This window comes from Homo sapiens, chromosome 1, assembly GCF_000001405.40.
Source record: "Homo sapiens chromosome 1, GRCh38.p14 Primary Assembly".
NCBI lineage: Eukaryota > Metazoa > Chordata > Mammalia > Primates > Hominidae > Homo > Homo sapiens.
In genome coordinates, this window is record NC_000001.11 from 18,137,601 (window position 1) to 18,152,096 (window position 14,496).

At 51.6% G+C, this 14,496-nt stretch overlaps 1 protein-coding gene across 2 annotated transcripts in view, besides 4 other annotated features; it reads left to right on the top strand.

Annotated features, from left to right (window-relative positions):
• Positions 1-14,496, top strand: part of IGSF21 (immunoglobin superfamily member 21) — a 270,686-nt gene that overhangs the window by 29,803 nt on the left and 226,387 nt on the right. The gene's annotated exons all lie outside the window — the stretch shown is intronic.
• Positions 4,621-5,238: an enhancer, noted in NCBI's record as "H3K4me1 hESC enhancer chr1:18468715-18469332 (GRCh37/hg19 assembly coordinates)". NCBI's record gives its function as "activates a minimal SCP1, AML or CMV promoter by ChIP-STARR-seq in naive and primed H9 embryonic stem cells {active_cell/tissue: H9 hESC(naive and primed)}" and the evidence as "EXISTENCE:reporter gene assay evidence [ECO:0000049][PMID:30033119]".
• Positions 5,239-5,854: an enhancer, noted in NCBI's record as "H3K4me1 hESC enhancer chr1:18469333-18469948 (GRCh37/hg19 assembly coordinates)". NCBI's record gives its function as "activates a minimal SCP1, AML or CMV promoter by ChIP-STARR-seq in naive H9 embryonic stem cells {active_cell/tissue: H9 hESC(naive)}" and the evidence as "EXISTENCE:reporter gene assay evidence [ECO:0000049][PMID:30033119]".
• Positions 9,017-9,518: an enhancer, noted in NCBI's record as "H3K4me1 hESC enhancer chr1:18473111-18473612 (GRCh37/hg19 assembly coordinates)". NCBI's record gives its function as "activates a minimal SCP1, AML or CMV promoter by ChIP-STARR-seq in primed H9 embryonic stem cells {active_cell/tissue: H9 hESC(primed)}" and the evidence as "EXISTENCE:reporter gene assay evidence [ECO:0000049][PMID:30033119]".
• Positions 9,519-10,018: an enhancer, noted in NCBI's record as "H3K4me1 hESC enhancer chr1:18473613-18474112 (GRCh37/hg19 assembly coordinates)". NCBI's record gives its function as "activates a minimal SCP1, AML or CMV promoter by ChIP-STARR-seq in primed H9 embryonic stem cells {active_cell/tissue: H9 hESC(primed)}" and the evidence as "EXISTENCE:reporter gene assay evidence [ECO:0000049][PMID:30033119]".

The window sequence follows — 14,496 nt, forward strand, 5'->3', positions numbered from 1 at the left end:
CAGTGCAGGACAAAGCCCACTGAGGAAAGCCACTTTGGGGGGATGGAGACATAGAGAAAGTTCATAACTCTAATATATTTGCATGGATTTCTACCACATATGAAGGATTTTCATGTGTTTATCATCTGGTGATCCTACCACAACCCTTTGTGGTAAGCAAGATAGGTATTTATTTAACAAATATTTATGTAGTGCTTACTGTGCGCTGAGAAGTCTTCTAAGCGCTTATAAATATTAATGTGTGTAATCTGCATTAAAAACTCCATGAGTTAGATTCTATTATTTTCTCCATTTTATAAATGGAGAAAACTGAGGCACAGAGAGGTTATGTAGCTGACTCAAGGCCACACAGCAAGGGAGTAGCAGAGCTGGGATTCTGTTTCCAGCAGATCTGACCTGGCGATAGAAGCCAGGGCCATCTTCTTTCTCTCCCTGTCTTTGGCCCACCGTGTCCCCAGCAACAGGACACATGATCCATGCTGGGGACACATGCAGCTGCCCCAGGGTTGGGCTGAAGATAATGGGTTCGTAAGTGACAGGTGGGCTGAGCTGGGATTAACAGAGCCAGAGACAGTTTGCTCTGGAGCCCCAAGCATGGGCTACAGAACCAGTGAGCTTTAAGATCCTTATCTCATCGAGGAAATATAATAATCCCTCGCAGGACATGTGGCCTCACTTTCTTCATTTCCACAGCTTTGTCCAGCTGTTTATCTCAATCCATCCTTACGATGGCCTGAGAAGTAAGCAGGGACCAGTGGGGTGTTGCTTGATCACTTGCTTCTTTGGGGTCTAGCACGGGGGACCGTATTCCTACTACTGCTACTGTTATTGCTTGCTTTTGGGGTTCCCTTCAAAGCAGAGCCAGAGAGAAGGATTTGGATGCAGGGGTTTATTTTGGGAATGACCCCAGGAGGTAGCAGCAGGAGGGATGTGGGCTGGGAAAAGAAAAGCAACTGATGCGGTTTTCACTTTTGCTCTCTCAGTGAGGGAACCGCTGACAGGCAGTGTGGGACATACTCTGAATCACCTGGCAAGGGGCGAGGAAGCTGGGGTACTGATCCTCTAACCCCCACCTCTCAGTGACCTGCCCCACACATGGGCCAAGTGCTCTCACAGCAGACTTCTTTTAGGTAAAGAAGTGCAAGATGCCAGCTTGGCATCTGCTCCCTCGCCACCACCATTAACTGAGCACTTACTATGAGCCAGGATGCCCGCTAAGGCCCTTCCCTGAATTAGCTAAATGTCTTGTCAATGGACATTATTGTCCTCTTTTTACAGATGAGGAAACTGAGGCCCAGAGAGAGCCACAAAGAGAGTCTGGGAGAGTTGGGATTCAGACCTGTCATTTTGTCTTCAAGCACTTAGTAAGCACCTGCTGAGTGCCAGCCAGTGTGCTTGGTCGTGGCTTTGCCGTTAAAACCCACATCCTTACCCACTGAATTCAATGCTGCTGGTGCAGGAGCGCTCTTCCCTCTTGGGTGCAGAGTCCATATTTTCTGGATTCTCTAGGATGGTCCCAATGGCAACACTTTTTATTCTTTTCAATAAAGATAATTTGTGGTATATATAACCAAATGCACTCTAATGTTTAAATCTTGGTAACACTTTTTGCATGAATAAATTCACTCTTCCCTTCCCACTGGGAGTGCTGTGTCTAATGAGAAATTCTCATTTGGGCTGGGAAAATGCGGTCGCTGAACCAGAGGGATGGGAGCCGGGGCATCTGACTCAAAGCTCAGGGTTCCGGGAGCTGTCTACGTCACACGATGATGGGGCCAGTTGGGTTCCTGAGCACCTCCCCCTGCTGGAAGATCGTGCAGGCTCCCTGGGCGATCCATCTCACCCACCCTCTTCCCAGTGTCTTCGGCCTCCCAGAGCTTCTTGCTCCCATTCCAGAGCCCAGGGCCTTCCCCTCTGTCTTCATTTTTCACCACCCTCTGCAGTGCTGTCGTCAGGTCAGGAATGGACCACTGTCAGGCAGTGTGGCTCAGTGGTTATGGTCAAAGGCTCTGGGACAGGTCTCTGGGTTTGAAGGCCAGCCCCACAACGTGTTGGGTGTGTGACCTAGGCCTCATTATCTGGATGCCCTAGGCTTCAATTTCCTCATCTGTGAGATGGGGTTAATATTGTAGCAGATGCTGTCAGTGCCTGGCTGTACTCTCTGTATTTCTCTCCACCCGCCAAAGTCTGCTTACTGTGAATGAAACTCATTGCCTGAGGCAGCATCCCTGGCCAGTGCACAGGGCAGGCCAGAAGTGCAGAGAGCTAGGGCTCCTGGAAGCAGCTCTCAACCAAGGACAGACAGGGAGTTCGAGAATGAATATCCCAACTTCCTTTTTTTTAAAAAAAATAAAAAATTTTATTTAGACAGGGTCTCGCTCTGTCGCTCAGGCTGAAGTGCAGTGGTGCGATCACGGCTCACTGCAGCCTCAACCTCCCCAGCTCAAACAATCCTTGCCTCAGCCTCCTGAGTAGCTGAGCCTACAGGTGTGCACCACCGTGCCTGGCTGATTTTTAAATATTTTTTGTAGAGACAGAGGTCCCATTATGTTGCCCAAGCTGGTCTCAAACTTGTAGACTCAAGCGATTCTCTCCACTCGGCATCCCAGAGTGCTGGAATCACGCAGCTTCCTTGCTGTTGGTGTTGATACTTGGAGGTGTATCTTCTACCCTGTCTCGCCTAGTTCCCCAGCAGGGTGGAGTTCTAGTTGCCTGCAGGAAAGCTGGCTTAATGCACCCAGTATCCTGCCCTGCCTTCCTGCTCCCTCACTGATGTTTCCTGGGTCACTTCCCGAATAAGCTACCTGCATCTGAATTATTTTCTCACAGTCTGCATCTCGGGGAGCCCAAACCAAGCCTCAATGTGCCTAGAGTGGGGGCAGCTGTGGGGATCACATGGGTGAGGATCTGGAAAGCACTGGAGGCGGCCGCATATGCATGCTCCATGGAAGCGGGCACTCCCACATCGTGGCTCCAGTTCCCCAGCCAGACCATGCTTCACAGTCGCGTGTCTGCTCCTGCTGTGCCCTCTGCCTGGTTGCCTTCCCATTCCTCTTCACCTGGCTCATGCCAAGACATCCTTCTGGACTCAGCTCAGTGGTCACCTCTTCTTGGAAGTCTTCCCTGACTACGCCCTGTGCTTGGCTTGGCAGGGGGGATCCCTCTTCAGCATCCACATAGGCTCCTTCCACTGTCATGGCATTTACACCCAGGATTACCATCCTCTGCGGGCTGCCCCTTCTCCCCACTTATTCTTTGAGGCCTGAGACCACATTTCTTTGCTGCCCAGCTCTCTGGGGGAGGAGGTAGCCCAGGTGTGAATCTTGTACACCCCTTAGCCCTCTGCTCCCTGTGGCCTTTGACCTGTGTCTGCACACAGGAACCCAGCAAACGTGGCACAATGAGGGCTTAGCATCCATCTGAGGAGAGCACGACCAGAGTGAAGCACCCCAGTCTCCATGCCTTCACAACCTTTTCTCTTTCCTCACCACCTCGGGGGTCACCCAGCAGGACAGGATGCTGGGACAAGTGGAACTGAAGGCTGGGCATCCAGGCTGATGGGAATTGGCTTTGAGAAGGAAGGATCTTAAGCTCAAGGTCTCATCTAGTCGGGAGGAAGACAGGGAGGAGGAGAGAGAGAGTTTAAAGCTCTGAGACCTTGCTTTGTCTTGTTTCTATTTATTATAATGACTACTGTCATTATTATGTAATGAGGTGAATGGTGGGCCAAAGTTTTGCCCACCTGCCAATGATGAAAAAGAGATAGGTTGACTTTAAAGCAAGAGAAGCTGCAGTCAGACAAAAGAAGGAACTTCCCACTTTCTGGTTGAGCAGGGTTGGCTGTCATCAAGTTCTCAGCAGGCAGAGAACTTGCTGGAACACAGGGATGTAGGGCAGGGGGTTGGGGGAGAGGCTGACACACAGAGGACAGGGAGGATGCTGTGGATCACCAGTAGCCACTGGGGCAGGAAGAAGCATATGACTGAGAGTGAGGGACCTGGAGAGCTAATTCTCTGCTCTACTCTCAACTTGCTGGATGACTTTAGGCAAGTCGCTTTACCTCTCTGGGCCTCCATTTCCTTATTTGTAAAGACGGGGACAATAATACATTCCTGGACAACATCTCCAGCTGTTTCACAAGTTATTAGATGGACATACACTTTATACAATTTAAAGCACAGTTCATGGCTGGGCACAGTGGCTCATACCTGTAATCCCAGCACTTCGGCAGGCCAAGGCGAGCCGATTGCTTGAGGCCAAGACTTTGAGACCAGCCTGGGCACCATAGCAAGACCCCCATTTCTACAAAAAATACAAAAATCAGCCGGGCATGGTGGTGCATGCCTGTGGTCCCAGCTACTTGGGAAGCTGAGGTGGGAGGATTACTTGAGCCCCGGAGGCCTAAACTGCAGTGAGCCAAGATTGTGCCACTGCATTCCAGCCTGGGCAACAGAGTGATACTGTCGCAAAATAATTTTTATATGTATATGTATATATAAAATAAAGCACAGTTTGGATGAAAAATAAACAAAACCAAAACCAACAGGGTGAGGAGAGAAGGTGAGAAACAAGCACGTGCTTCTCTTTCTCTAGCAATCCGTATCAGGACAAGGGGACTCCATTTAATGAACAACTACTCTATGACTAGCACCTATAAAGGCCTTAATCCTCACAACAGCCTATGTAGGAGGCTCGTCTCCATTTTACAGATGAGAAGACTGAGGCCCAGAGTGGTCAATTAACTGGTCCAACCGGGATTAGAACTCAGGCCTCTCTGACTCAACGCCCTGGCTTGTTCCGCCTTTGCCACATTATTGGAGCTGTGATGGTCAGATGTTCTACCCTTACTTGATCACCTGATGGTTCTTCTCCCCCTGCCCAAAATGAAGATTAGGATACAAGACCCAGGAAGTCTTCCCTGGCCCTCGGGCCCTCCCTGCCCCTTCCCAGATGGCCTTGGCTCAATCTGGGACTTCATCATCCACCCAACCAGGCCTCAGCTGAGAAGGAGCCGGGCTCTGAGCCCAACAGATAAAATCCCAAGCCCCACAGCCAATCCTCGTGGCCTGGCCAGGCATTAGGCAATGCTAATTGCACTGTCCACAGTGGAGCCTTGTTTGCATATATGCAAATTGGGGGGCTGATTAGCGCTTCCCCCAGATGGGTCAGTTCAGGCCTCTGCCTGACCCCTGTACTGCCTGGTTTAAAGCACTAGCGAGTGGGACAAATGCCCATCCAGATGGGAGATGCAGCAAGCAGGGGCGGCCTGTGGCCTGGGCAGCCCCCAGTGGCCATTGCCTGGCAGCTGAAGGGTCCAATCATGACCTGAGTGTTTGGATGGGGAACCAGAGGCTGTGGTCACATGTTCCCCAAGTCCCTACCCAAAGGGTCTGGCCTCTCCAATTTGGGGGACCCCAGGATGCCCAGAGCCTTCCCTGGGCCTTCTCTCAGGGACAGGACTCATGAGCCTGACCCCACACAGGCCTAGTAACAGCAGATGTCTGCGGTTCAGCTTCCAAGGCTCCCGCAGATGAGTGGGCATCTGTAGAGGAGGACCCTGGGCCTGCGTCCTTGAGCTCAGCCAGGCAGCTGCTTGGAGTGCAGCCGTGATTTAATCTCATTGGGCCCTTCTGTCGGGCCTGGGCTCAGGATGCGGAGCTTCAGGACTTCTGTGTGCTATCCCCCACCCCCTCGGCTGTCCCCTTTCAGGCCGGGACCCTCATCTCTAGGCTGGATGACACAACAGCCTGGACCCTGATCTCCTGCCTCCGCTCTTCCTCTAGACAGTCCCGCTGAGCTTCTCAAATCACAAATCTGAGCACTCTCCCTCCTGCTTAGAACTCTCCATGGCTCCCCAGTGCCCAGTCATAAAGTGCAAACTCCCGTCCCAGCCCATGCCCATGGCATGGGTTTCTAATCCTCGCTTTCCTTGTCAGTGTCCAGCTCCCCACACCACAGACGCCTTGTGGGGGTGGATGAAGTCTTGCTGGAGAATCTGTTCCCATGGCCTGGCAGAGCCTGGCTGGACTTTCAGAGGCTGGAGGAATCACCTTCCCAGGGAGGCTTCCTGAATGCTGTCTGTGCGACCCCTGGATTTCGTGTCTTTCAGAAAGTCCTCTGCACACAGGTGACCTGGTAGGCCCGTGCCTTCCCTTCTATGTCTCTGTTAAAGGGTTCTAAAGTCCCTTCTCTGGGCGAGGTCTTGTCTTTCTGTTTAGGTGGGAGCTCTTAGGTGGTAGGGGGGTGAGTGGTGCCCATCAGACTTGGATTCTCTCCCCAAGGCAGGAGCTGTGACTCCCCGATCAGACTGGGACCTCACCGGGGCTGGAGCTATGACTCTTTCATCAGATTTGGGACCTCCCCAGGGCTGGGGCTGTGTCTCCCCTATCAGATTAAGGCTTCGTGATGGCAGAAGACTGTCTCCCTGCATCAGAGTGGGAGCCCCCTGAGGTCTGTGTCCCTAGACCTTGTCACATTTCCACCTTAGGGGAATGTCAGTGTCTACTCTGTTCCGTTTTCTGTTCCTTGATGTTTCCACGTGGTCCTCTCGGGGAGGAGGCATGCAGAGGAAGGAGGACAGGCCAGCAGGAGCCTCTGCTCCTCCCATCTTCTCCTTCCCCAGGCCTGGCCCACAGCCCCTTCCCAGGACAGAGCAGCACCTTGGTAAGCCTCAGTCGAGTTGGAAGGATTGAGTCCACAGGCGGCTCACAGACCTCCATGCCCCGCTGCCCCAGGCTAGGAGCCAAGGGCCCCATGCCCCCTTGGACTCAGTTCCCCAGGTCCCACCCAGAGGTAGGGCTACCCCTAGTCACCTCCCTGCCCAAGCTGCCTGTGCCTGAAGCAGCTGTTGGGCTCTGCCCCTGACCCTGAAGAGATCTGGCCCACCTTTCCTTCCATTTATTCCTCTGCCCAATTCTGACCTAGCTTAGCCTGGGTCCGGAACCCTCTGGAAGCACCTAGGTCCAGTCCTCCAGTCCCCTGAAGATACCACTAGGTAGTACTAGGTGACTTGGTCTAACCAGAGAAGCCTCCAGTAAATAGAGCCCCTTAGACCACCAAGAAAAGCTGCCCAGGACCCTTCAAAGCCAGAGCACGTTGCTGATCTGAGAACGGTCAGCCAGAACCTCCCCCTTGTGTCAGCAGGGCCACTCGGACAGAGAGGGTTGAGAGCCAGACCAGAAGGACAGAGTGAGATTCCTGCTGGGGCCCTTGTTCTTCGTGACCTTGAGTAAGATGTTTAACTTCTCCGTGCCTCTATTTCCCCATTTGCCACAACTTGACGATTGTGGTGAGAATAAAATGAGATAGCAGAAGAGGAGCTTCCCTGATGAGTGATTATGATGGGTGAGTCCCGGGTGCCTCAAAAAGCCTTCCTCCCTGCTGTTTTGAATTATCTGACTCCAAAAGATAACTTTTTTTATTATTATTCCAAAAGTAATACCCGAAAGCTGGAGATAATTTGAAGCGTTTAGAAAGGCACAAAAAAGAAAATAGCATGACTCAGAGATGACTGCTGCTCGTGGCATGGTGCTGACCCTGTCAGCCTTTTCTGTGCGTGGGGACAGGGAACCGTGGAGGGAAACAGAGAGGAATTTATGGAATATTTTTTAAAAAGTTATCCTCGGAGTCATTTTTGTGGCTAGATGGCTCCTCCCCACCTTTGTTCCCTGACCCTTGTGTGGGTATCTGAAAGCTGCCCATTACCCTGTTCTTGCCACCAATTTCCTCAATTCACACTCCCTATAAACCACCATGGGGAGCTTTATAGGCCCACAAAGGCATTCAAAGTTAATGGCAAAACCAACCATGTGAAAACTCCGCTGTAAAATCCACCTCACTCTCTCCCCAGTGCCCGAGAGCCCCCAGCCCCTCCTGGTTCCCATGAGGCAGCCTGATACCTGCCGCCCCAACTGGCACTGGGCCCTGGGACAGAGGGATGGGCAGGCAGAGAGTCCAGGGGGTGACCTTCTTTCCACCGAGGACACGAAGCACACACATCCTCTTGCCACAACAACACAGATGCAATAAATACGAGGACTGTAATTTATGTAGATGTTTTGAAGTCCAAACAGAAGGGTGGGGAGGGACTAATAAAATGCCATCCCTCATGTCGGCTTCTCAGGGCGGCAAATGTGGCAGGTTCATAAGGAATGCGCAGGGCACCTGCCGGCTGAGCGTGGAGGTTAGGGAAGTCCAAATGATGCCCTTGGGCTCCCCTGCCAAGGTCGACGCTCTGCCAGGGGATGGAGCCCAGAACCAGGAGGAACTTTGGTTGCTCCTTTATTCCTCCTTCCAAGAAGTGTTTCCAGGCTCTGGCTCAAACCCTCCTGGGCAGAAAGGGACAGGAGCCTAGCTTGGTCTTTTAGGGGAGAAAAGTGTGGCTTCTGCTGGGACAGTGAATGAAGAGTGGGCTTGGCACTGACCCTGGCTCTGCTGTGTGACCTTTGGGCAAATACCTCACCCTCTCTGATCCTGTTTACATATCCATCTAAAGGAGAGAAAAAGGAGGGTATTATGAGGATTAAGTGCCATACTGTAAGGAAACAGGCAGAGAGGGAATATGTAATCAATGCCAGTTTCTCCCCACTCTCCATTAGTTTCCGAATTTCTTGCAAACTGCAAAGGACAGATCTCTTGCTATATTTGTGCCAGAACACCGAGTCCAAAGCACTGGGCCTAGCAGGGAGTGAGCGTCCATCAGTTTGAGGATGGTCCCTTCCTCTGCTTTGTACCAAGAGGGGGATGGGTGGGGTGCAGTATGGAGGTGGGGCAACGTGAGTCTATTCTGGGCCATGTCGTTGGCTCAGCGGGCGACCTTGACTGAGTCATTTCACTCTCAGGAGAGGCTGGAGCTGAGCCAGTGCACCTTCTCCTGGGCCCTCCTGGGATCACTGCTCCAACGCAGGGAGGGATTGGGACAGTGAAGAGTCAGGCTTCTCCCCACACCAGCCCAACCACATGCTGCCCACACCTCCACTCCCTTAGGGGAGAAGTGCCTCCTTTTGGTCAAGGTAGTAGGAGAGGAACTGAGCGTTCAGCCTTGTTTGATATGTGAGCAAACTGGAATTGGTTTCTGGCCAAGGTTGTGGAGCCACCGAGGGTCCCGGGTGAGACCAGAATCAGTTCTGACGTGCCCCTCTCCCCAGCCTTTCTTCCACATTTCTCTCTTCATGACGCTCTCCCATCTCTGTCTTCATGTTCTATCTTAATTGATCCTCATAGCACCCCTGATATGTAGATGAGGAAAGTAAGACTCAGAGGGGTTAAGTGACATATTCAAGGTCACACAGCTGGTTAATGGTAGGGTAAGAAATAAAACACATGCCTTGTAGCAAACACCAAAAGTAAAAACATGGTCACCCTGATTCCTTGTCTGCCCTTGCTCTCTACGCCTGGTCCAGGAACGAGTTCTGGAGGCTCTTCCCCCAATACATCCTGCATCTGGATGACGCTTCCCTCTGACGCCACTGCCACCCCAGCCCAGGCCACCACGTGTCCACGCCTGCCATAGCCTCCCTGCTGGTCTTGCGGCTGCCACCCTCATCATCCAGCTCTCCAGGTGTCCAGAGAGATATTATTAAAATGTAAATCAGATCCAGTCGCTTCCGGGCTTGAACCCCTCCAAGGTCTGCCATCGTGCTTGACATCAAATCCCATGCCTTACTCTCCTTCCTCTGGTGGTGCCTGCTCTCCCACCTCACCCTGTTTGATTCTCTCCTGTGCTCATGCCACTCCCACCACTCTGGCCCGCTTGCTTTCTCCCAAGCGTGCTTGTCCAGCCTATGGGCCTTTGAACTCAGAGCTTCCTCCGCTTGGATCACCCTTGCTGGGATGATCCTAAGACTACAACCTTCCTGTCCTGCAGGGCTGAATTTAAATAAAAAGCACCGAGAAATACCTTCCCTGACACCACCCCATTGAAATGTCACCTCCTTCCCCTATTTTCCCTTTATATGAATACATCTGAGCCATCTGTCAGGACACTGCTTGCTAGCATTAATAATTTTGTTGGTTTTTTTGCTCATCATCTGTTTCCCCACTAGAATATAATTTTTGTTGTGACTATGATGATGAAACATTGTGTACCTCCTACATACCAGGATGGTTCTAGGTTTGCATATACATAACTTACTGAGATTTGCAACAACTTTGTGAAAGGTACTATTATTATCTCCATTTTTACTGAGGACACTTGATATGGTTTGGCTGTGTCCCCACCCAAATCTCATCTTTAATTGTAGCTCCCATAATTCCCATGTGTCGTGGGAGGGACTTGGTGGGAGGTAATTGAATCGTGGGGGTGGGTCTTTCCTGTGCTGTTCTCTTGATAATGAGTAAGTCTCATGAGATCTGATGGCTTTATAAGGGGGTGTTTTCCTGCAGAAGTTTTCTCTTGCCTGCCGCCATGTAAGACATCTCTTTGCTCTTCCTTCATCTTTCGCCATGATTGTGAGGCCTCCCCAGCCCTGTGGAACTGTGAGTCCATTAAACCATTTTCCTTTATAAATTACTCAGTCACAAGTATGTCCTTTTTTTTTTTTTTTTTTTGAGATGGAGTCTTGCTCTGTCGCCCAGGCTGGAGTGCAGTGGCGCGATCTCATCTCACTGCAAGCTCCGCCTCCTGGGTTCACGCCGTTGTCCTGCCTCAGCCTCCAGAGTAGCTGGGACTACAGGCGCCCACCACCATGCCCAGCTAATTTTTTTTGTATTTTTAGTAGAGATGGGGTTTCACCATGTTAGCCAGGATGGTCTCGATCTCCTGACCTCATGATCCGCCCGCCTCGGCCTCCCAAAGTGCTGGGATTACTGGCGTGAGCCACCATGCCCGGCCTCAAGTATGTCTTTATTAGCAGCATGAAAACGGACTAATACAACACTGAAGCCCGGAGAAGCTAAGTCACTTGCCCAAGGCCACACAGCTGGCTAGTGGTAAAGCTGGGATTTGAACTCAGGCAGTCCAGCTTCAGCGTCTAGACTCTGGACCACAACACTAGGCTGTAAATTGCATCAAGGCAGCAGCCAGGTCTCTTTTGTTTCCTGCTGCATCCCCAGTGCCTAGTGCAAGGCCTGGCACCAGGAAGGTGCACAGTAGATGTTTGTGGAGTGAGAGGATGTGTGCCACGGTGAGTAAGCATAGACCCTGCCCTCAGAGATATCATATCATCGCTTATTTCATTGCTCAGAAGACACAGGGAAATAAAAATAAGAAGTGGAAAAAACAAGCCTGTATAATTCAAAGCATAAACATGTTATCCTTGAATGAGTGAGATTGTTTGTAGTCAAGTACAGAGTAGCCCTCCTGCCCCTGCACACACAAGTTAGTGTCTTATACTCATTAAAAAAGCCGGAGCATAAACCCAGTGCTTGAGCTAAGTGTGCACGAGTTCTTACGGTGTCAGCAAGACGTGCTCACCAGAGTGTGTCTGGCGGCATCCCGGAGACTCTGCCAGGCTAAGTGCATGGAGCAGGGTTCAGAGGTCTGCATGCTCCGTAGTACTCCTGCGGCCCACCTTGCCTGGACAACAGCTGGGACAGGCGTGTCACTGACATGTGTGCCTGAGCCCCTCTGTCCAGCCTGGCACAGCCCCTGCTGGCCAATGCTGGGACATGGGCCAGCAGCCTGCAGAGGGTGTGTGTGGCCATGGTGGGTAATGACACGTGGAGAGACAGAGGAGCGCTCGGTGTGCAGGGGAGACCATGGGAGCAGGGACAGTCTCCGAGGCTTCGGGGCAAGGGACTGATTTAAGTGAACCATGCACAGCGGGGATGACACACACAGAGGGAGGGGGTGGCCATCCCGGCACGGTTCAGAGGCTCAGACTCATGGCTGTGCTAATCATTAGTGTCAATACCGTGAATGCTGGCGAATCACAGAGCTAATGTTGCTAATAATAAGGGGTGATATATCCTGACTCCTCAGTCCTGGCTGGGTGCCCGGCCAGCAAGACCTGCCTCCCCAGTACCGCTCAGCTAAATGGCTGAGCCACTCGTGCATGAGCTCTCTCGGTGGCAGGCCAGCCTGACAGCTTGGCCCAATAGGTCTTCGTAACATGGGCAGATTGTGGAAATCCTGGGTGTTTTTCTGAGGCTTCCTTCGGGGCAGGATCAGCCTGGCTTCACTGATCCATCTCTAGACTCTGGCTCCATAATTTTTCGGCTTTGTGACCTTGGGGAGTCATTTCCCCTCCCCCATTGTTTCTGCATCTGTAAAATGAGAATCATTCATGTCTACTATAAAAGGTAGATCTGGGGAGCCTCTGGGATGATGTGGAACTCTGAGCAGAATGCCAAGCGCAAGTTTCACCATACGCTAATTATTATTATAATAATTACATTTTCATTTATTCAGTAGCAAGAATGTAGGCTTTGGGGCCGGGGAGTGGTGGCTTATGCCTATAATCCCAGCACTTTGGGAGGCCGAGGCAGGAGGATTGCTTGAGCCTAGGAGTTTGAGGCCATCCTGGGTAACAGAGGGAGGCTCTGTCTCTGCAAAACAAAAAATTAGCCGGGTGCAGTGGCTCATATGCCTGTAATCCCAGCTACTCAGAAGGCTGAGGTGGGAGGATTGCTTCAGCCCAGGAGCTCAAGGCTGCAGTGAGCTATGATCATGCCACTGCACTCCAGTCTGGGTGACAGAGTGAAAGAGAATTTAGGTTTTGGAACCAGGTTGAGCTGGGGTGGAATCCTCTGCTGCCACGTGCTCTAAGGCCTGGGCCTCTCTGGAAAATGGGGATAGCACCTTCCTTACGGAGGCTGGGAGGATTGGAGACAGTTCACTTGTAACAAGGAGGATGGTGCTTGGCATGGCGGGGGGGGTCTCAGGATACTTAAGGTAGTTTATAGGTTTTAACTGAGTTCCTGCCGTGTGCAGTCACTGTGCCCTGCCCTGGAGATACCTGTCCCCGATTCTGTGTTAGCTGTAGGTGTTTGAGTCAGTGTGGTCAGAGACAGGAATGCTGGCCTCCTTGGAGATGGGCTTAAGGGGCTAGGCGAGACCGGTAACTTCATACCTACTTCAGGGCCAGGAAGTCCACATACATTTGACCCCTTTCTCCTCCTTGAATTCCAGAGGGGACTCAATCCATCTCAGCACCTCCCAGGGAGCTGAGAGCCCTGAAGTCAGTGCAGTGTCCTCCGTCACCAATGCCATCAAGATACCCCATCAGGGACTCCAGCACTTTCACTGGGGCAGTTGCCCCCCTCACCAAGGTCTCTCTGAGTGGGATCACAAATGCCATTACACTCTGGATCATTCTGCTGGTGGGGCAAGAGTGGCCCCTGAGCTGATGGGGCGGCCCTAGCCCCAAATCCCTGTCATGTCCATTACCACATCAGCCTCCCAGCTTAGTGCCATCGGGAAAAAAAGCAGGGGTGGTGCCTGTCCCAGTTGGCACCAGAGAAAACAAAGGCTCAGGCAGGGTATGTGACCTGAGCAAGGTCTCCGGATGGCTGTGGCTCAGCCCTGATGAATCACAGAATACCTGAGCGTCCCAGGGCCTCTACCCAGGCTGTATCCTCTGTGTGGAGGGACCTTTCATCACTTCATTTAGGTCTCTGTTCAAATCTTCCCTTGTCAGAGAGTCCTTCATGAGCCACTTGTCACAGTCAGGGTAATTAACACTAGCTGCTGTAACAAACAATTCCAACCTCTTCTTGACACAGCACAGTAAAAGTGTATTTTTTGTTCATGCAAAATCAAATGCATTTATTCCTGGTCAGAGGCTCCCCTGAGCACTCACATCCAGGCAATGGTTCTGGGGGCCCAGCCTCTTTCATTTTGTGCCTCTGTCATCCCTGGGAGGTTCCCCGCTGGATCCTCTGTATTCAGTCTGCTGAAGAGTGAAGAGAAAGATCACATGGAGGCTCTGACCTAGAGTTTCAAGGGCCAGGTCCAGAGTGGCATATACCATCGACATCCACATTCTAGTGGCCAGAGCAGGTCACATGGCCAAATCCAACACTGATGGGGAGGGACAGTGCATGCCACATATAACAGGCGGGGGAGAGGAGTGAATAATTCACACCATGGTAGAGGATTTCACAGGATGTCTGGGGCCAGGCCTGGGCGACACTTATTCCCTGCTTCCATGGACCACAACTGACTCACACATCCTCCTTAACTGCAGGGGGCTGTGGGGGGCGGGTCTTGGAAATACGGAGAAGCTCATGGATATTGGTGAAAACTGACAGTTTCTGCCCCACAACCTAGTAATTAAAGAGATCCTAGTAGTGCTTCTCATCATGTGGGTGACCGTATAATTCATCTTCCAAATGGGACCATTTTAAGGTGAAAGGGGTCACTAATGATTATCCTCTGAACACTGGGTTTCAAGCAGGTTGCTCCAGGGATTTGGGGCACGTGGTCACCCTACTCATCACTCTGCATCCTCTCAGCCTGCTTTATTGTTCTTTTTCACACTTAATCACTGCCTAGGAGTGGACTCCGTGAGGACAGGGACCTTTCTCCCTCTGTTGCTATATCCTCAGTGCCTAGAA